General features: G+C 49.0%; 1 protein-coding gene across 8 annotated transcripts in view; it reads right to left on the reverse strand.

Annotated features, from left to right (window-relative positions):
* The window catches only part of CEP104 (centrosomal protein 104), a 45,126-nt gene continuing 36,804 nt past the window's right edge, over positions 13,614-21,935 (reverse strand). For all 8 annotated transcript variants that reach the window (NM_014704.4, XM_047435158.1, XM_047435161.1 and 5 more), the window contains 2 exons: positions 17,808-17,898; positions 13,614-17,045 (listed from right to left, as the gene is read on the reverse strand). In NM_014704.4, the coding sequence (NP_055519.1) occupies positions 16,930-17,045; positions 17,808-17,898 (207 nt within the window). In that variant the 3' untranslated portion in view covers positions 13,614-16,929. The remainder of the gene's footprint in view (positions 17,046-17,807; positions 17,899-21,935) is intronic.

The raw sequence follows: 21,935 nt of genomic DNA on the forward strand, positions 1-21,935 counted from the left end.
ATAAAATTCTAAGCCCCCCAACCATCTGAGTGGACCCCTCCTCTGGGCCAAGGGCATTCCCTAGTTAATCTGAAAAACTAGTTCAGGCCATGATGGGAAGGGTCGGATGTGGAGGGGTAGGGGTTGGACATGCCTCATTATATTCTCCTCCCTTTGGGAATTCAGGCCCACCTGACCATCATTAATATCAACACAGACTTTAAGACTGACAAAGCCAGGCCAGGTGTGGTGGCTCATGGCTGTAATCCCAGCACTTTGAGAGGCCATGGCGGGTGGATCACTTGAGGTCAGGAGTTTGAGACCAGCCTGACCAACATGGTGAAAACCCATCCCTACTAAAAATACAAAAATTAGCTGGGCATGGTGGCGGGCGCCTGTAATCCAAGCTACTCGGGAGGCTGAGGCAGGAGAATTGCTTAAACCTAGGAGGCGGAGGTTGCAGTGAGCCAAGATTGCACCACTGCATTCCAGCCTGGGTGACAGAGCGAGACTCCATCTCAAAATAACAACAACAATAAAAGACTGACAAAGCTGACTCTTTGTAGCAATGATACCAAATTCTAGCCTGTTTCTAGTAGAGCATTATGTGACTGATCAAGGCCCTGAAGGAAATTGAAGTATTTTACCCCAAATTATATTTCCTTGCTGTATCTTAAAACAATCCTGCAAGGCTGCCTATTGTGGGGGAAATCCACATTCTGAAGATAGTATCCTTGCTTTGCTAGGCCTTTTTCCTGATCCAGGAGAGAATCAACTCTGATAATAAATAAATAAACAAAGAAAAAAACAAAAACCATTTACAGGCCGGGCGCGGTGGCTCACTCCTGTAATCCCAACACTTTGGGAGGCTGAGGCAGGCGGATCACCTGAGGTCAGGAGTTCAAGACCAGCCTGGCCAACATGGTGAAACCCCGTCTTAACTAAAAATACAAAAATTAGCCAGGTGGGGTGGTGGGCGCCCGTGATCCCAGCTACTTGGAGGCTAGGGCAGGAGCTTCAACCCAGGAGGCAGAAGTTGCACTGAGCTGAAATTGCACCATTACACTCCAGCCTGGGCAACAGAGGGAGGCTCCATCTCAAAAAAAAAAAAAAAAAAAAAAAAAAAAAAAAAAGAACTTCCAGGGGCTAATTTTGAAGGAAACCAGGCTCAGAGACCCAGATGTGGATCCTACTGCTCTGGGGCAGTTAGGAAGAGTGAGCCCACCACTACTGGGCCAAAGTCAGGATGATGCAAGCTGGACCTTCAGACAGGGTGTTACTCGAGATCACCTTCGGAACAAGACATGCAGCCCTGCACCCCCCTGCACCCCCTTGCACCCTTCTGCATCCTCCTGCACCACCCCCACATGTTTCCCACACCAAGTTTTCCTTCCAAAACCTCTCACTCAGCCCAGAAGACAGAGGGTCTCTTGGAGGCATGAGCCCAGCCATGTCCCATCGGCTGGCATTTGTTTAATAAACGGCTTTCCTTCCACCACACCTCGCTTCTCATGTTTTTGGTCTTTGAGCAGCCACGCTTGAGCTGGTTGCAGATCTGGTGCCTTGTGTGAGGCACTGTGTTGTGAGTGGCTCAGCCTGTGTACCTGGTTTCCAATGAAGGCAGAGATTGGCCACAGCAGTCCCAGGATTTACCCACTCTTGCTGTCAGGCAGGACAGCAGCTGCTTGAAAATGCCAGCTGCTCATGGCCAGCTGACCCCAAGGCTAGGACCTTAGGGAATTCCTAGTGGCTGCCGAGACTGCCTTTGTCTTGGGGATTTTCCCTTCCCTCTCCTTCATGACATCAGCATCTCTCATGCTCTGCTGGTGGGAGGGAAGCAGTATGTGGGATGTGAACTGAAGTGCACCTGGAAATCCTCTGCATCTGCCATCTGGGGCTCTAGCTGTCTAGAGCTAGTATTGGTAGTCTGTGGTGCCACCTGGGTCTCTGTGCCATCTGGACCTAACGCAGGTAACTCTGTGGTGCCGCCTGGGTCTCTGTGCCATCTCGACCTAACGCAGGTCGCTCTGTGGTGCCGCCTGGGTCTCTGTGCCATCTGGACCTAACACAGGTCACTCTGTGGTGCCGCCTGGGTCTCTGTGCCATCTGGACCTAACGCAGGTCACTCTGTGGTGCTGCCTGGGTCTCTGTGCCATCTGGACCTAACGCAGGTCACTCCATGGTGCTGTCTGGGTCTGGGACAGGACCTCAGGACTTTGCTCCAATCTCCCCTCTGTTTGGAGGGATCTGTTTGGAGGGCTGTGTCTACATTGGATCTATTTGTGTTTGTGTCTCTGTTTAGTGTTGCACCCCCCTCTGAGGGTGCTTAGGCACAGTCTGCATCCCAATGGCCAAGACTAGGTCCATCTGGTTGTCAGAAAGTAGCAAGATAGGCTGCCCCTCTCCTCACTAGGTGTATTTGTACATTTTCACACTGCTGATAAAAACATACCTGAGACTAAGAAGAAAAAGAGGTTTAATTGGGCTTACAGTTCCACATGGCTGGGGAGGCCTCAGAATCATGACGGGAGGTGAAAGGCACTTCTTACAAGGCGGTGGCAAGAGAAAATGAAGAAGATGCAAAAGCAGAAACCCCTGATAAAACCATCAGATCTCATGAGACTTATTCACTACCTTGAGAACGGTGTGGGGGAAACTGCCCCCATGATTCAAATTACCTCCCACCTTCTCCCTCCCACAACCTGTGGGAATTATGGGAGTACAATTCAAGATGAGATTTGTGCTGTTATGACCGTCCTTGAAGATTTCCCTGAACCAGTTAACATTGTCTCTGATTCAGCGTAGGTACTACATGTTGCTCACAACAATTGAAACTGCCTTAATCCAATTTCTGCCTGATGATGACCTATTCTTTCTTTTTCAAAGGTTTCAGTCTGTGCCCAGAGCAAGGTCTTCTCCTTTCTACATTACTCACATTTGGGCCCACACACCCCTCCCCGGACCCCTCTCGCAGCAAATGCTAGAGCTGATACATTAGTTACTCCCGTTTTTACAGATGCAGGTGGAGGAGTAGAGTCTTCTCTAAACTCCCCCGGGGAAAGGGAGACTCCCTTTCCCGGTCTGCTAAGTAGCAGGTGTTTTTCCTTGACACTGACGCTACCACTAGACCACGGTCTGCTTGGCAACGGGCATCTTCCCAGACGCTGGTGTTACCGCTAGACCAAGGAGCCCTCTGGTGGCCCTGTCCGGGCATAACAGAAGGCTCGCACTTGTCTTCTGGTCACTTCTCACCATGTCCCCTCAGCTCCCATCTCTATATGGCCTGCTTTTTCCTAGGTTATGATTATAGAGCGAGGATTATTATAATATTGGAATAAAGAGTAATTGCTACAAACTAATGATTAATGATATTCATATATAATCATGTCTATGATCTAGATCTAGCATAACTCTTGTTGTTTTATATATTTTATTATACTGGAACAGCTCGTGCCCTCAGTCTCTTGCCTCGGCACCTGGGTGGCTTGCTGCCCACATCTCCCCCCTTTATATTAACTAGGATCACCATCGCCATCATTGCTTGTCATTGACTTCGGACTTGTTTTCGGACTCCTTGGAGGCATCTGCAGACTAAACGGAGACAACATAAGCATACCAATACTAATAATGCCAGTGACAACAATGATCCTCCAAGGGGTTTGATCCATTTAAAGGGATTAAGATCAGATAATTCTTTAGTTATTCCTTCAAAAATGTCTGAGCCAGGAACAGTGGATGAATGAGCTTGTGAAGCCTCAAAAATTTGCTCTTTAAGTTTTGAAATATCCAAGGTTAAGTTATCATCCCAGGCTTTTAAATGTCTTGAGACCTTTTCCCAGCTATGTTGACCTTTATTATAAGCATAAGGCATTATGCAATAGTCAGAAGTATTCCAATCACACTGTAATTGCATAAGGTGTTCCAAATTCATAACTCTGTCTCTGAGCCACATTACACTTTGACGGAGATCATTAATTTGATTGGCTAATTTTTTATCAATTTGAGCCTGAGAATTCCAAAGTCCGGAGGAGTTTTTCTGCCGTGCTTTAACATATTGAGCGGTTTGAACATAATTGTAGATGGCAACTCCAGCAGCTGCTGCTGCTGCAGTAACTGCAATTAGACCTGCAATGACGGCAATAAGAGTAAAAATAAATCTCTTTGTTCTTTTGAGGATAACTTTAAGAACTTCATTGACTATGTGAATAGAGGGGGAAGACTCCCAAGGACGATGTAGAGAAACTGGTATCCATACCTCCTCCCTAGCCCGTACCAAGAGAATACTTGTAGTGGGAATGAAAGTAGCATCAATGCATGTGAACAGCTGACAGTTATCACATTCTACAGTTTGTGTACTGGGAATGATAATTATATTTCCAACCAACAGCATGTAAGGGGGTTTGACACAGCTCCTGATGGGTATCACCTGTTCAGATATCAAGGTGATGTTGAATGTGTGTGTTTTGGTATTAGTGTGAAGGAGTTGATAGGTAGTGTTCCGTATCCTTATTCCTGTCATAGCTGCAGCAATTTCCATAATTCAGGATGTTCTGGGGTAACAATGGGATGAATCATTTTTGGTGTAGGGGGAACAATGCCTGCGTCCATCCATTTAAATGGGTAAGGAGACACCCATTGTCTCAACCTGTATGACTGCCATCCATCCTCTATATGATCTTTTTTCTTTTCTTTCTTTTTTTTTTTGAGATGGAGTCTTGCTTTGTTGCCCAGGCTGGAGTGCAGTGGCGCGATCTTGGCTCACTGCAAGCTCTGCCTCCTGGGTTTACGCCATTCTCCTACCTCAGCCTCCCGAGTAGCTGGGACTACAGGCGCCTGCCACCACGCCCAGCTAATTTTTTGTTTTTTAGTAGAGACGGGTTTTCACTGTGTTAGCCAGGATGATCTTGATCTCCTGACCTTGTGATCCACCCGCCTCGGCCTCCCAAAGTGCTGGGATTACAGGCATGAGCCACTGTGCCCGGCCCATCCTCTATATAATCTAACAAATAGTTAAACTCCGAGCATTTTGTATTTTGGGTGGAGCAATTTCGCCAATAATGCCCTTTTGGAGCCCAGTCAATAACAACACCCGTAGGTAGGGTTTGGAACAGTATGGCCTTCGGAGTATTAGAATCATTTCATAAGATTGAATTTAGTTAAAAAAAGAAAAAAGGCCCCTTTGTAGGTTTCTTGGAGCAGGCTGGCAGTCCTTTTGTTTCTCAGAGTGCCTCATCCTTGGAGTTATAATGCAATTTCAGTCGCTGGGAGGGAACCCACGCGGGTTGTTGTCCTTTTCCTGGGGAAACACAAGCGAAAGCCCTAGCCCAAGTTATGACTCTGTCTAATTCCCATTTGTTAGTTTTTGCGTCCTTTCACCATACCCGCATTCGTTTTTGTGGATCAAATTTATTTCCAGTGACATGTGGTTCTGTGGCTGTAAAGTTTGGTTTCTTGCTGGGTGTAAGAAAGCTCGTGTAAAAAGAGGCAGGTTTAACTGAGCATGAGGTGTGGTGCCATCCCCCTTTGTTTTATGTCCTGCTTTCGAAGTTGACCTTTCAGTGTTTTATTGGCTCGTTCCACCGAGGCCTGTCCTCGAGAGTTACAGGGGATGCTGGTTGTGTGAGCAATTGCCCACGTCTCAGTGAACTTTTTAAAAGCAGCACTAGTGTAGCTGGGGCTGTTATCAGTTTTCAGTTTCTCGGGACAGCCCATAACGGAGAAACAGGAACGCATATGTCGTTTACCATGAGCTGTACTTTCCCCTGCGTGACAAGTGGCCCAGATAAAATGAGAAAAAGTGTCGATAGTTACATGTATAAAAGAAAGCTTGCCAAAAGCAGGATAATGAGTCACGTCCATTTGCCAGAGAGCATTCTGTGAAAGTCCTCTAGGGTTAACTCCTGAGGAAAGTGGCTGTAAGATTAACACTTGGCAAGTAGGACGGTGACGAACAATGGTTTTAGCTTGTTTCCATGTAAGGGGAACTTTTTCCGGAGTCCTGCAGCATTGACAGGTGTTAAAGCATGAAAATTTTCTGCATCTGTAAAAACGGGAGGAACTAATGTATGAGCTCTGGCATTTGCTGCCGAGAGGGGTCTGGGGAGGGGTGTGTGGGCCCGAATGTGAGCAATGTAGAAAGGAGAAGACCTTGCTCTGGGCACAGACTGAAACCTTTGAAAAAGAAAGAATAGGTTATCATCGGGCAGAAATTGGATTAAGGCAGTTTCAATGTTGCGAGCAACATGTACTACATACGCTGAGTCAGAGACAATGTTAACTGGTTCAGGGAAATCTTCAAAGACGGTCATAACAGCAGGCAGTTCAGCTCGTTGTGCTGAAATAGCCCCTGTGTTAAGAACACGTTCTCTGGGACCTGTATATGCTGCTCGGCCATTACAGGAAGCATCAGTAAAAACAGTGACAGCTTCAGCTAATGGGGTGTTTCTAGTAATGTTAGGTAAAATCCAAGAAGTGAGTTTAAGGAACTGAAATAATTTTACATTAGGATAGTGATTGTCAATTATACCCGAGAAACCTGCCAAGTGTACTTGCCAAGTGATACAGGTTGCAAAAGCCTGTTGAACTTCTAATCGGGTGAGGGGAACAATGATTTTTTTGGGCTTAATAACCTGACTTCTAGCTGCATTGCTAAATAGTGATAAGGAGAAGAAGTCTGGATTTTTTTTTTGTGGAGGGGGCGCAGTAACCAAACCGGCTGCTGCAACTGTTTGTTGTCCTGCAGAAAAACAAGATATTAACACGGAGCGTGAAGGTGCCGCGAGATCAGCTGCCTGCTGAGTAAGATCAGCAGGCTGTGGCTGATTTTGTGCCGCAGGGACGGCAGGTATTGGAGGTTGTAAAATTACAGGAAATTGCCAGGCGTTGGGATCCCCATATTTTCTTGCCTGTGCTATAGCCCTCATAAGAGGAGTGTCATTTTGAGGAATCTATGTAACTTGTTGCTTGTGAGCAGCAAGGGTAGACGAGATTACCTGCCGAGCACGTCCTTCATGGGCCTGAAATTCAGGCTGCTGTGGCAACTGCGGACCAGGCTTCAAAGGAGTCTGTGACTCCAGGGGAGTCGGATTAGTAGGAAAGGAACCAGGTTTCAAGGGAGCCTGTGACTCTAACCGAGTCTGATTAGGAGGAAAGGAAACAGGCATGAGAAAACCAGGCTATGGAGGGATAGGGTTGAGGGCCTCATTACCGGGCGGAACAGGCAGAAGGTTGAGACCCCTACAGCAGGGCTGAACAGGGACAGGGTTGAGATAAAACAGGAGGGTTTTTATAAAGCTTAAATAAGCTGAGTACTTAGTACTGGCTTGTCCCATGGTGTCCCCGGAATACTCTGAGTGCTCTAGCTTACCACCAAGCTTACTGACCACAATCCTCAGGAATCTCTGGTCAAAATCCTCTGCTGAATCCCACACTCAGGGTGCAACTTCACACAGCGAGAGAGAGCCCCACGTTGGAGCGCCGGATGTAGGGACCAGCCCCACAGTGTTGGTGCGTTCTGCTCCCCATGTGCGGAGATGAGAGATTGTAGAAATAAAGACACAAGACAAAGAGATAAAAAGAAAAGACAGCTGGGCCTGGGGGACCACCACCACCAAGACGCGGAGACCGGTAGTGGCCCCGAATGCCTGGCTGCACTGTTATTTATTGGATACAAACCAAAAGGGACAGGGTAAAGAGTGTGAGTCATCTCCAATGATAGGTAAGGTCATGTGGGTCACATGTCCACTGGACAGGGGGCCCTTTCCTGCCTGGCAGCCGAGGCAGAGAGAGAGGGGGAGAGAGAGAGAGAGACAGCTTACGCCATTATTTCTGCTTATCATAGACTTTTAGTACTTTCACTAATTTGCTACTGTTATCTAAAAGGCAAAGCCAGGTGTGCAGGATGGAACATGAAGGCGGACTAGGAGCGTGACCACTGAAGCACAGCATCACAGGGAGACGGTTAGGCCTCCGGATAACTGCGGGCGAGCCTAACTGATGTCAGGCCCTCCACAAGAGGTGGAGGAGCAGAGTCTTCTCTAAACTCCCCCAGGGAAAGGGAGACTCCTAAGTAGCAGGTGTTTTTCCTTGACACTGATGCTACTGCTAGACCACGGTCTGCCTGGCAACGGGCATCTTCCCAGACGCTGGTGTTACCGCTAGACCAAGGAGCCCTCTGGTGACCCTGTCTGGGCATAACAGAAGGCTCGCACTATCGTCTTCTGGTCACTTCTCACCATGTCCCCTCAGCCCCCATCTCTGTATGGCCTGGTTTTTCCTAGGTTATGATTATAGAGCAAGGATTATTATAATATTGGAATAAAGAGCAATTGCTACAAACTAATGATTAATGATATTCATATATAATCATGTCTGTGATCTAGATCTAGTATAACTCTTGTTGTTTTATATATTTTATTATACTGGAATAGCTCGTGCCCTTGGTCTCTTGTCTCGGCACCTGGATGGCTTGCTGCCCACAGATGTCTGGGTCATTTCCAATTCAGAAAAGACTGTGCTATGGGAAAATGTGTTTCTAAAAATTATGGAATTGTTTCATTTACAAAATAACATCTGATAGTTCAAGATTTCTTGCTTCCTGGGTTTTCACTAAAATTTAAGGTTACTAAGAATAGGAATTCTAATTAATATATAATTCTGTAAATTGTGTTATTGAGAGAAAAAATAATTTTATGTAATTTGAAAGTTGTTTAAAAGTTATTTATGAAGAAAGATAAAAAGAAACTAATAGGTAGGGGAGAGAGTAATAAAACAAGTTTTGGCTATGAAGATGTATTTTTGGTAAGGATATGAAGAAAATAAAATAATTTTATATAAGAAAGGATATTATGTGGTAAATTCTTATCCTAAAGTAAAATGACTAGAAAAGAGAGAAGTATCAGACACGTCAGAAAGTCCAAACATGTTGTAGATGGTCAGTGTAGGTTGTGATAAGGTTTGTAAAGGGCAATTACCTGAGACTGGGTAATTTATTTTTATTTATTTATTTATTTATTTATTTATTTTTTGAGACAGAGTCTCGCTCTGTCGCCCAGGCTGGAGTGCAGTGGCGCGATCTCGGCTCACTGCAAGCTCCACCTCCTGGGTTCATGCCATTCTCCTGCCTCAGCCTCCTGAGTAGCTGGGACTACAGGTGCCTGCCACCATGCCCGGATAATTTTTTTTTTTTTTTTTGTATTTTTAGTAGAAATCGGGTTTCACCGTGTTAGCCAGGATGGTCTCGATCTCCTGACCTTGTGATCAGCCCGCCTCAGCCTCCCAAAGTGCTGGGATTACAGGTGTGAGCCACTGTGCCTGGCTGAGACTGGGTAATTTATAAAGAGGTTTGATTGGCTCAACGTTCTACAGGCTGTGGAGGAAGTATGGCCATGAGCATCTTCTTGGGGAGGCATCAGGGAGCTTTTACTCAGGGCGGAGGCGAAGCAGGAGCTAGAGAGTGAGGGGGAGGTGCCACACACTTTCAAACAAGCAGATAACTCTCTGTTATCAGGACAGGACCAAGCGGATGGTGCTAACCTCTTCATGAGAAATCCGCCCCCATGATCCAGTCACCTACTACCAGGCCCCTCCTCCAACACTGAGGATTACATTTCATTATGAGATGTGGGCAGGGACACAGATCCAAACCATATCAAACTCACCACTGCACTCCAGCCTGGGTGGCAGAGCCCAGCAGACTCCCAGAGTTGAGGAGACAGCTGAGAAGCCAAGGTCAGGGTGGCTAGGGTCAGGGGACAGGGCACCCTTAGCTTGAGCACCTCCACTGAGCACCAGCCACTCTCTTCTTATGGGGCAACTCCCAGCACTGGACACTTTTTTTTTTTTGAGATGGAGTCTCACTCTGTCATCCAGGCTGGAGTGTAGTGGCGCAATCCTGGCTCGTTGCAACCTCCACCTCCTGGGTTCAAGCAATTCTCCTGCCTCAGCCTCCAACTAGCTGGGATTACTGACACCTGCCACCACACCTGACTGATTTTTGTATTTTTACTAGAGACAGGGGTTCACCATGTTGCCTAGGCTGGTCTCGAACTCCTGACCGCAAGTAATCTGCCTGCCTTGGCCTCCCAAAGTGCTGGGATTACAGGTGTGAGCCACCATGCCTGGCCACTGGATGCATTTTAGACAGGACCACTCAGGGGGTGTAGTAGCTCACACCTGTAATCCCAGCACTTTGGGAGGCTGAGGTGGGAGGATCAGTTGAGCTCAGGAGTTCCAGACCAGCCTGGGCAACATAGTGAGATTCCCCTGTACAAAAATGTAAAAATTAGCTGGGTGTGGTGGCATGTGCCTGTAGTTCCAGCTACTGAGGAGGCTGAGGCAGGAGGATCAGTTGAGCCCAGGAGGTTGAAGGTTGCAACCAGCTGAGATCACACCACTGCACTGCAGTCTGGATGACAGAGCAAGACCCAATCTCAAACAATAATAAACAAAGAGGATCAGGTGTCTTAGTCTGCTTGTTATAACAAAATACCTGAGACAGGGTAATTTATAGAAAGCAGAGGTTTCTTTCTAACAGCCGTGGAGGCTGGGAGTCCAAGCATCCTCTGGAGGGAGAGAGGGAAGGCAGGCTGTGTCCTCACAGGGTGGAAGGTGGAGGGGGATCCCACACCCAAGACCCCCCACCCACTTTTTTTTTTGAGATGGAGTTTCACTCTTGTTGCCCAGGCTGGAGTGCAATGGCACGATCGCGGCTCACCGCAACCTCCACCTCCCGGGTTCAAGTGATTCTCCTGCCTCAGCCTCCCAAGTAGCTGAGATTACAGGCATGTGCCACCACGCCTGGCTAATTTTGTATTTTTAGTAGAGACGGGGTTTCTCCATGTTGGTCAGGCTAGTCTCGAACTCCCGACCTCAGGTGATCTGCCTGCCTTGGCCTCGCAAAGTGCTGGGATTACAGGCATGAGCCACTGCGCCCGGCCCACTTTTTTTTTTTGAGACAGGGTCTCACTCTGTCACCCAGGCTGAGTGCACTGGCATGATCATGGCTCACTTCAGCCTTGACCTCCAGGGCTCATGTGATCCTCCTGCCTCTGCTACCCAAATAGGTGGCACTACAGGCACATGCCACCATGCCCAGCTAATTTTATATTTTTTGTAGAGATGGGGTCTCTCTTTGTTGCCCAGGTTGGTCTTGAACTCCTGGACGCCGGTGATCCTCTCATCTCGGTCTCCCAAAGGCTGGGTTTATAGGTGTGAGCCACTGTGTCTGGCCCCAAGTCCTTTTATTGTTGCACAAATCCAACCATGAGGGCAGGGCCTATGGTCAGGCCCCACCTGTCTATACTGTTGCACCGGGCAGTGAGTTTCCAGCCTGTGAATTTGTGGGGCACATTCACCTCCCAGCACCAGGAAACAGAATGCTGCCTGACGCTGCTACCTAGAGTAACACAGTGTTGCACGCTGAAAGAGTGAGGGTCATGATCAACTCAGTATACCACTGGAGGCGACGTGAGTAAACAGCAAACTGTTTCTCATACATGCAGAATGTTGGCAAACAAACTGCGTCTGCCACCTAGAAGGAATGCTGAGGGCAGTCACGCCTCAAGCACAGTGTTTCTTGTGATTAGGTACATCTGAAGCCTGTTAGTAACAATATGAACCTGTGATCAATTAAGCAGCTGACCGATCGTTACCTCCTCCTCCCTCCTCCTGCTACCCAATAAATAGGAAGGGCTGTGGAAGCTCGGGCGGTGCCTTTGCTCACTAGAAGCAGGGAGCTCTCTTCTTCTTCCCCGTGTTACCCTTCCGTTAAAATAGTTACTTTTGTTTTAAGTTTTCATTTCTATGTTTGTCCCTCTTCCTTCAGTCTCATAATGATGGTCTCAAGTAGTAACAGCAGTCTGCCACAACACAGGAGGTGTGAAATCCACATTACAGAGGCAAATGGGTTGCTGAGGACACTGATGTTGGTGATCAAATAGTTTGTGGGGGGCCTGGGCAACATGGTGAGAACCCACCTCTACTATACATATATATACAAAAATTAGCTGGGGGTGGTGGCTTGTGCCTGTAGTCCCAGCTACTCAGGAGACTGACGTGGGAAGATGGCTTGAGCCCTGGAGTTGGAGACTGCAGTGAGTCATGGTAGCACCACTGCACTCCAGCCTGGGCAACAGAGTGAGACCCTGTCTCTGGAATTAAAAAAAAAAGGTCCAGGCTGGGCGTAGTGGCTCACGCCTGTAATCCCAGCACTTTGGGAAGCCGAGGTGGGTGGATCACCTGAGGTTGGGAGTTCGAGACCAGCCTGGCCAATATAGTAAAACCCTGTCTCTACTAAAATTACAAAAATTAGCCAGGTGTGGTGGCAGGTGCCTGTAGTCCCAGCTACTTGGGAGGCTGAGGCAGGAGAATCCCTTGAACCCGGGAGGCGGAGGTTGCAGTGAGCCGAGATTGCACCACTGCACTCCAGCCTGGGTGACAGAGTGAGACTCCGTCTCAAAAAAAAAAAAAAAGTTCCCCTGCCTGGCCCTGCTCCAGGGCTTCATTCTCAGGAAGCACGGATGCCCTGGGAACAGCAGAGTTTGGAAGATGCTCTGGTGGGAGTTTGCAGCTGGGTGGGTGGGCAGTGGGGGCTCCCCTGCCTTCGGGCTGCCCACTGCCCTCTGCTGGCTGGGCCCCACCTCAGCTGACCCTCAGAAGTGCTCCCCATTTAGGGGCAGGTGCCTGACACCCTGAGGCCAGCTGTGCAGAGGGCTGGAAAGTGCCTAGAGTGTGTGTCCTCTTCAGTGCACAGCAAAGGGACCCTCAGTTCCATTTTACAGGTGAGGAAACTGAGGCAGCGGCAAGCTGTGGTCAAACACTCCCTGGTAACTGATCCATCAGTGGAGTCAGGATCCCCCATACTATTTTCAAGATCCAGAGAGTGCCAAGGTTCCTCTGGACCAGCACCTTCCTCCCTGCAGTCAGAGGGCAGCGGGGGCAGCTTTGTCCTGCAGCTGTGGCTGTGTGTGCCTGACCGCTAACTCTCTACTCTGTTGTTGAGGATGACAACACCGGCCTTGCATGGTTGTGGTGAGGATTCCGCGGACCCGCCTCCGTCCCGCTGGGTAGTCTAAGGCCACACCTCCCCGCAGGGTAGGCTCACAGGCTCACTGCCCGAGCCCTGGCCATTACCCTCCTCCCACGGCTCAGCCCACCCAGCTTTCCAATCAAGGGTGCCACAGCCACTGCCCCCGGCTTTCCTGGGCAGTAGGCAGGTGACCACCGTACAGTGCTTAGTTGAAAAGCAAAACAGCCTTGAGGGCTGGTAAAATCCCTCTTTCAAAGGGGGGAAAACCCATGAAGAGACTAGAAAGTATAATCCTCTACTGGGCACAATTAGAGAACTTAGAGAACATTCTGAATTTATTCCACAGGATGAAACTGGTCAATCATTTTCTCTAATCTCCATGTGGCTTCAAATTGTCCAGTTTCTTCAGCAGTGAACTTGTTTTGACAAATTACTTATTCTAGGGACCAAACCCTCAGGGCAACTTCATATTTGCCGTGTCTTTTTTCAGCAATTTTCAATCTACTTTCTAAGGTTTCAGGGCTGGGCTACACTTCCATGTTTATTAAAGTAAATGTAATTGACAAATTACTTTTTAATTGTAATGTTGAAATAAAGTGACAAAACATTTAGTGATCTTTTTATTATATTAATATACTCTGGGTGAATTAACCCTTAAGCCCTAAAACGACAACAAAAATATATTACTTAGATATTTTGTAATTCTGGTACTTGAAATAAAGACAAATAGAAAACTATGTTAAAATATTAAAAAGTTGCAAAATTTCATTAAAAACATTTACATTTGTATCCTAATGCCAATTTATACATACAATTCTTTTAAGTTAGATTTAATGGAATATCTTAACATATGAAAATAATAGAAATAAATATTAAATATTCAGAACATACTCATGAGTGAAAATTCAATTAATTAGTATTCCTAATTTAGATATTTATTTATGAATGACCAAGGGATTTTACAGTTCCTTTTTAATTTTTTGTACTTGATTCTTGGTCCCTTAACAATGTATAACCCTGTAAAACTCTCAATAGCCACTAATCACTGGTAGGATCATTTCAACAAAAACACATGATTGGGCCGGGCGCGGTGGCTCATGCCTGTAATTCCAGCACTTTGGGAGGCCGAGGTGGGTGGATCACAAGGTCAGGAGTTTGAGACCAGCCTGGCCAATATGGTGAAACCCCGTCTCTACTAAAAATACAAAAAAATTAGCCAGGCGTGGTGACACACGCCTGTAATCCCAGCTACTCGGGAGGCTGAGGCAGGAGAATTGCTCGAACCCGGGAGGCGGAGGTTGCAGGGGGCCAAGATCGCGCCACTGCACTCCAGCCTAGGCAACAGAGCAAGACTCCGTCTCAAACCCCACCACCCCCGCAAAACAAAAACAAAAACAAAAAAACAACAAAAAAACCCCCTGTAACTAACAAAAGAGGAACCTGTTTTAAATGAACCCGTTTGCTTGTCAATCACTAAAAATGAAGTCTTTTTATAAGTATTTTCTTTAAGTTACAATATATAGAAGGCATGTGTATATGTGTGTATATATATATATATATTTCTTAAAAGTGTTGATTGGTGAGAAAAGAATAATTCCTTGGTTAACTTTTCTCATTCTTGTTCTGTTTAAAGAAGTGTTTTGTCTGTATTTTAAAAATGGATTAGAAAATAATGGCCAACATCTCTTTAAAACCAGAAAAAATCATTTTACAGACATCTTGGCATCTATACTCTGTTTTGTCTAATAAACTTTAAAGTTATTTCTCTCCTTATACTTTTTTTTTTTTTCGAGACGGAGTCTCGCTCTGTCGCCTGGGCTGGAGTGCAATGGCATGATGTGGGCTCAATGCAACCTCCACCTCCCGGGTTCAAGCAATTTTCCTGCCTCAGCCTCTCAAGTAGCTGGGACTACAGGCCACCACGCCTGGCTCATTTTTGTATTTTTAGTAGAGATGGGGTTTCACCATGTTGGCCAGGCTGGTCTCGAACTCCTGACCTCAGGTGGTCCGCCCGCCTCGGCCTCCCAAAGTGCTGGGATTACAGCGTGAGCCACCGCGCCTGGCCTCCTCTCTCCTTATAAACACATTTAACCTGGGCGTGGTGGCTCACGCCTGTAATCCCAGCACTTTGGGAGGCCAAGGTGGGCAGATTATGAGGTCACGAGTTCGAGACCAGCCTGGCCAACATGGTGAAACCCCATCTCTACTAAAAATAGAAAAAATTAGCCGAGCATGGTGGTGTGCACCTGTAATCCCAGCTACTAGGGAGGCTGAGGCAGGAGAATTGCTTGAACCCAGGAGGTGGAGGTTACTGTGAGCCAAGATCACGCCATTGCACTGCAGCCCGGGCGACACAGTGAGACTCCGTCGCAAACAAGCAGACAAACAACACTGAGCAGAGCATATTCTTAAAGGTTCCTGGTAGGTCTTATATCTTACTCAGTATTCTCAGTCAACCAGAGGTATTAGTTTACCAAACGTGGAGATTAATTCATGCAAATTTATGGTTATTAATGTATCCAGGCCAGGGAGTACATTGTTCAAATCGGGATTAGTTTTTAGATATTTTGTTGTTTCACACGGTTGGCAATTAAAACATATTTATACACTAATTGCATTAATGCAAACTCCATCAACCCAAACCTTTCTAACTATCCTTTTTGAAGTCTGCCCATGCAACATCAGCGAGGCAAGCAGAAGCCCTGGGCACCAGGTGGGAGGGGACTGCCCTTCAGTCCATGGTAGCCTAGGCCCCTGGGAGCACAGGCTGGGGCAGCGAGAGGGTGGATGCTTCCAGACAGACCCTGACTCCCTCCACATGGCTGCCTGGATGTGACACAGGCCCAACCAAAGCTATGGACAAAACCCCCAGCTCACTCCCACAGGAGGGGATGGCTGGTTAGGAGACTGTTTTTTGAGGGTTGGTTTCATCATTTTAAGCAATGTGTTGATGTTTTAAACATCCTATCAACTCTTTGAAGAAAGTAAACTTATGGATCCAATCACAACATGGATGTGGAAGGGGCGGGAGGCCCATACCAGTGGGCTTCTGCCTGCTGTGAACACAGGGTGATCAGGTGGAAATTCATTTAACAGTGACTTCCTCCACATGTCTTTAGGAATTCGAAAGTGTGGAGAAAGTGAAGCGCCTCTGAGCAAAGGCACGGGAAGGGCCCACACCTGTGTCTACCTCAGTTCCAGCAGGGAGCTGATGCCTGTCACAGGGGCAGCACTACTGGAGAAGCATCCAGCAAGGTGCGGCTGAGGTGGGACCAATTCTCAAAAAAACTACGATTAAAAAAAAGATGTTCTCTTTTGCCTTTATTTCTTGCTATAGTGGGAACGTGAGTTCTGCTACCTGGGGCTGAGTGCACTGGGCAGCAGGCCCAGCAGACGGGGCCTGCAGGGGGAAGGCACGGCTGGAGGCCCGTGCGCACCGCCACTCTCCTGGAACCGCTGCTGGCCGAGCCACAGCCCTGCGGAAATTCTACTGCGTGTGGCAGAGACCGATGTGCAAAAGGTTTCTGGTGAATGTTTTATGGAAATTGCTCCAAGCACTAAGGAAAGCGGGACCGTGCCTGTGCTGACCGTGGCCTTGCGCGAGCGCCTCCCGGCGGTGCTCTCTGGCTCTCTCCAAACAGGACGCTTCCTTCTCTGATTCTAAGGAAGGCCTGAGACAGCCCTGAAGGCTTAATGTACAGTGCGGCCAGGTCCTGGCACTGCACGCAGGATCTTTGGTTAGCTGCATCCATATCGTTTGCACGAGAGCTGACGGCACAGACGCGTAAGAGGCGTGCACGGCGGGGAGCTGGGGACAGCAGCCAGAGCATGGGGCCACCAAGGCCAGAGAGTTCTGGAGAGATGGTGTAGAATCAGGAGACCCGCTCCATCCCTCACAGAGACCAAGGAGCCCGAGCGCCGCGTCAGCGCTTGGCGTACGTCCTGCTGGAGCTCTTGCTCAGTCCGCCCTTCGGGGTGGGGATCTTGCTTCCGGCCTTTGACCCCAAGGGGCCTGATGCGGCCACAGCTGAGCTTTTCCCTGCAGAGCAAGCACAGGACCTGCATTAGGAGGGGCACTCCTACCCACGGACCAGGTGCAGAACCTGTGGCCACAGACACCCAGCAACAACGTCCCAGGCCCATGCTGATGGCCGTCACCCGACTACAGGAGCCAGGGCTGAGCCTAGTAGGGTCTACTCTTCAGCTTCCTATTTTTTTTTTTTTTGTTGAGACAGAGTCTCACTCTGTCACCCAGGCTGGAGGGCAGTGGCGCAATATTGGCTCACCACAACCTCCACCTCCCGGGTTCAAGCAATTCTCCTGCTTCAGCCTCCTGAGTAGCTGGACTATAGGTGCCGGCCACTGTGCCCGGCCAATTTTTTATAGGGTTTCACCATGTTGGCCAGGCTCATCTCGAACTCCTGACCTCAAGTGATCTGCCTGCCTTAGCCCCCAAAGTGCTGGGATTATAGGCGTGAGCCACTGTGCCTGGCCAGCTTCCTGATTCTAAACACTTGAGTCAGTGATGTAGAAAGAGCGGAGGACGGGAGTGTGAATCCTAGGCCACCCGTGGAGCCTTCGCACTGCACAGCCAGTTTGCAGGTGGAGAAGGATTTTGGTCACACGATTCTGATTATTAGCCTGCTTACTAAGGAACCAGAACATGAAGACAGGCTTGGATGCTTTATTTTGCTTTTAAAGGGATGGGGTCTTGCCATGTTGCCCTGGACGGGGATGCTTTTTTGAATAAGTCAAAATGGAGGGATGCAGACTACACCTGCTCAGCGGCGCTGTCCCTCACCTGGCTGCAGTGCCGGGGCCTTCTGCAGAATGTGTGTCTTGCGCAGGTTCATCGTGCAGCCGGCTGGGCCCATCAGGTGAGCTTTCCATGCCTGCAGCAGAGGAGGCACACAGAGTGTTAATCAGGCGAGACGGACCTGGCACGCTACCTGAGACCCAAAAGGACTCGCTGTGTAAGCTGAAAACGAGGGCGGCCGCTCCAGCAAGAGCCGCAGAAGAACGGCTCCCTCACCTGGGCACCTCCCTTCGGATATGTTATGATAGCCTCTGCAGTCTGTGCAGGGTACAACTCAGGAAGCAAGAAGTCCTGTCACCAGGCAAGCCTGCATCTCGCATCCCCACCCAGCCACACAGGGCCCTTGGTGTCAGTGACTCTGAGCACAGCAGAGCGTGCACGCAAATGCAAGGGTGAGAAGCAGAGCGCCCGCGTGATTACGTTCCAGGCCAGAAGACAGAACGCGCCAGGCACCGCGGGCTCCCCGCCAGCCTGCTGCCCACGGTTCCTCGTGGGGTTCCCACTCTCTTCATCCCTGCTCTTCCTGAGCCACGCCACATGCACTTGCCCTGCAGAATGTGGGGCTTATGCAGGCCTGACTGCCTGGGCAGCCAGCTTCTTTCCTTTACGACCAGCTGTGGGACCGTCTGCATGGGGACAGGGAGCTCATCTCGTCCTCCTGTTGGATATAAACGCGGGATCGCTGGTTCCCTGAGTCTTCTGGACATTCGAGTTGTTCCTGGTTCCTTCCCTTCTATTTAAACAACACTCACGAGGCTGGGCGCGGTGGCTCACGCCTGTAATCCCAACACTTTGGGAGGCAGAGGTGGGTGGATCACCTGAGGTCAGGATTTTGAGACCAGCCTGGCCAGCTTGGTGAAACCCCGTCTCTACTAAAAACACAAAATTAGCTGGGTGTGGTGGCGCATCTCGTGTCCCCAACAGCTAATCCCAGCTACTCAGGAGGCTGAGGCAGGAGAATTGCTTGAACGTGAGAGGCGGAGGTTGCAGTGAGCCGAGATCACATCAGTGCACTCCAGCCCGGGCAACAGGGTGAGACTCCATCTCAAAAACAAACAACGCTTCCCAGGGACACTGCTCCAGCCGCTCTCCCATTCTCTGGTGGACCAGTATCTCCACCAGACACAGCCCTGCTTCTCCCTGGTTCCTCTCTCACTCTCACCAGTGGCTGTCAGTTTCTGGCCACCTGCGGCAGCCCTCAAGATACTAGAGCGCTTGCAGCCCCAGCCCAGCCCACTCCTGTCCCGCTTTAGCTGCTCCCGGCAGGCCTGGGTTCTGGTCTCTCCAGGCCACTGGCAACCTTCGTGTCCCTAAAGCTGGGGCGCCTTCTCACCAGAATGTGGCCCACCGGCACATGGGGTGCAGTTGCTTCCCCCTCCCCCGTGGAGGGACATGACCTGCTCTAAGGCTCCAATTCCTCCCTCCCCAGCACAGAGGTGGCAGGTCCCTCTCCATCCCTTGAATCTGGGTGACTGTGGCTTGCTTTGGCCAATGGGACAGTGGCAGACACGTGGCAGGGCAGGCTGAAATGAACTCATGCGCCTGGGCTTGTCTTGCTGTTGCCCTCTGCTGCTGTCGCGAGAACGCCGTGCCCAGGCTGGCGTGCTGGGCTCAGACACAGAAAGCAAAGCTGAGGTGCCGCAGCTGCCTCCAAGACCATTCTCAATCAGTCTCCGGCTGCGGACCCCAGGCACACGCGTGTGTGAGCCCAGTCAGGGCCAGCAGAGCCGCCTGGCCGCCCTATGGCCAAGTGCAGATGCAAGAGCCAGGCGGCTGCGATCAGCTGAACCCAGCCAGGCCAGCAGGGCATCCTCTCTGATGGGCTGTGCTCTGGGGCCTCCAGGACGCCACCCTCGTCAGGCTTCCTCCCCAGTGCATTTCTTCCCCAGCGCCTGGTTTGCCTTCTTCCTCCCACTCTGCCTGGGGCTTCTCCTCTGTCTACACTTGCTCTTTAGAAGAGTGCTCCCAGTATCATGACCTTAAACCCACTTCTTATACACGCTTACAAACCCCACATTTCCACCTGCAGCCACCTGTCTACCGGCCTGCGCGTCTGACAGGGATTTTAACTCCACAGCTCCAGGCTAAGCTCCTGAGCGCCCTGGATTCCTGACCGCAGTTACTTCCTTGCCATGTTGTGAGGACTCCACCGGCCAAGTCCTGGGTCTGCCTGCAGTGTGTGTCCAGAATCTGACCACTTCTCGCCACTTAGCTCTCTGCTACTACCCGACCTCTCTGTCCCACAGGCTGCTCTCAACAGAGCAGCAAAACTGGCTGGCATAGGGCCCGCCAGGCCATGCCCACTCTTCCGCTCAAACCCTGCAGGGACATTGCCTTCCACTCACTTTGAAGAATAATGGTCAATGATTTTTCATCCCCAGCATTGTCTTTCAGTCTATTTATGTTCTTTGATGAAGAGGAGGTTCTCACCTTTTACAATTTAATAGTTTTATTATAAAATGAGTGTACAGTTCAGTAGTGTTAAGCATGTTCACGATGCTTAACTCCAGAACTCTTTTCATTTTACAAAACCCAAACTCTGCCCCAAGGTTCTTCATTTTAATCTAATTGAATTGATCTGCCTCTTCCATCAAGGCTTAAGCTTTCTGTGTCCTGTTTGAGAAATCCCTTCCTATTCTGAAGGCTATTCTCTTATCTCTAGCATCTCCTGAGAGATTCATAATTGGGCCTTTCACATTTGAATCTCAGATCCACTCGGAGCTTTCTTCTGAGCAGTGTGGAGGGTGTCAAACTTCACTGTTTATCCCCCTTCACATTCAGAAAAATTCCAGATGTTAGAATTAGCACAAAAGGACTTTAAAGCAGATACCTAGTATGTTCAAGGACTTGAACGTGCAATGAAGTGCTACTGATCTATTAGAACCCGGGCGAACCTTGAAAACACGTTAAGTCAAAGACACAAAGGCCGCATAGTGTCTGATTCCATTTACAGGAAATGTCCACAGTAGGCAAATCCATGGAGACCAAAACTAGACATATGGTCGCCAGGGGCTGGAGAGGGGGCTGGGGAGAAAAGGGGCGGCATGTAGGCAGTGTTGTCTTTTGGGTGATGGAAAAGTTCCACACGTGTGCAGATGGTTGCAGAACCCTGAATACATGAAAACCCACTATCTGTCCACGGGGAGAGGCTGTGCAGACTAGATCTCCATGAAGCTGTTAAAAACAGGTGATCTTAATGAGTGAACAGAGGTGAATCTCAGCAGAGAAATGAAACCTGTAAAGAAATCCCAGCCAAACACAAATACTAGAATTGGAAAGTACCAGATTGAAAATGAATTCACTTAACAGAGGACTGGAGATGGAAGGAGAAAGGGCAGGGGCCATTCAACTAGAACAGAAAGGAAACACTGGACAAAGCCCAGTGACCCACAGAAGATTGAGCAGTCTTCACACTCACGAGCCTGCAGGCAGGAGAGAAGGGAGGGAACGCTGAAGAGAGAAAAAATATTTGAAGAATGAACGGCAAAACAATTCACACGAAATTAGAAAGACGTGTCTCAGCAGGCTGGAGTGGCAGAGTCTCCTGCTGGCCTCGAGGAAGTGAGCTGCCAGCAGAGAGGCCCCCGGTGCTGACGGTGGGGGCCTCTAGGAGTTGAGTGGCTCCGGGTTGACAGCCCCCAAGAACATATTACTGCCAGCTGCTGGGATGAGCCTGGAAGTGAGTCCTTCCCTAGCAGGGCTGACAGATGAGAATGAAGCCTGGCTCCGGACCCAGGGAACCCGTGAGGTAATGAGTGAGTGTGTTTTCTGCTTATGCTGAAGGGTGTGTGGTGATGTGTAAGGCAGTGCAGATAATGAGATACAGGGAAAGCAGATGACACATGAGATACGCCTGGTGACAGCCTTACAGGTACTACCTGTAAGAGGATGTCAATTCAAATCAGATGTTGGGAACAAGAAGGGAAGGAAGAAAAGGCAGTTACAGGAGAATGTGAGTACTGCTCCTAGTAGGAAACCAATGGCAATAACTGAAATCAGAGGGGATGATGGGCATTGCACGGGAGGACAAGTAAAGGTAACAACTCGAATGCAAACACAAAGGCTCCCACATTCTGGAGATAACCAGGGGAAAAGATGTATGTGCAGTGAAAA

The sequence above is a fragment of the Homo sapiens genome, chromosome 1 (assembly GCF_000001405.40).
Source record: "Homo sapiens chromosome 1, GRCh38.p14 Primary Assembly".
NCBI lineage: Eukaryota > Metazoa > Chordata > Mammalia > Primates > Hominidae > Homo > Homo sapiens.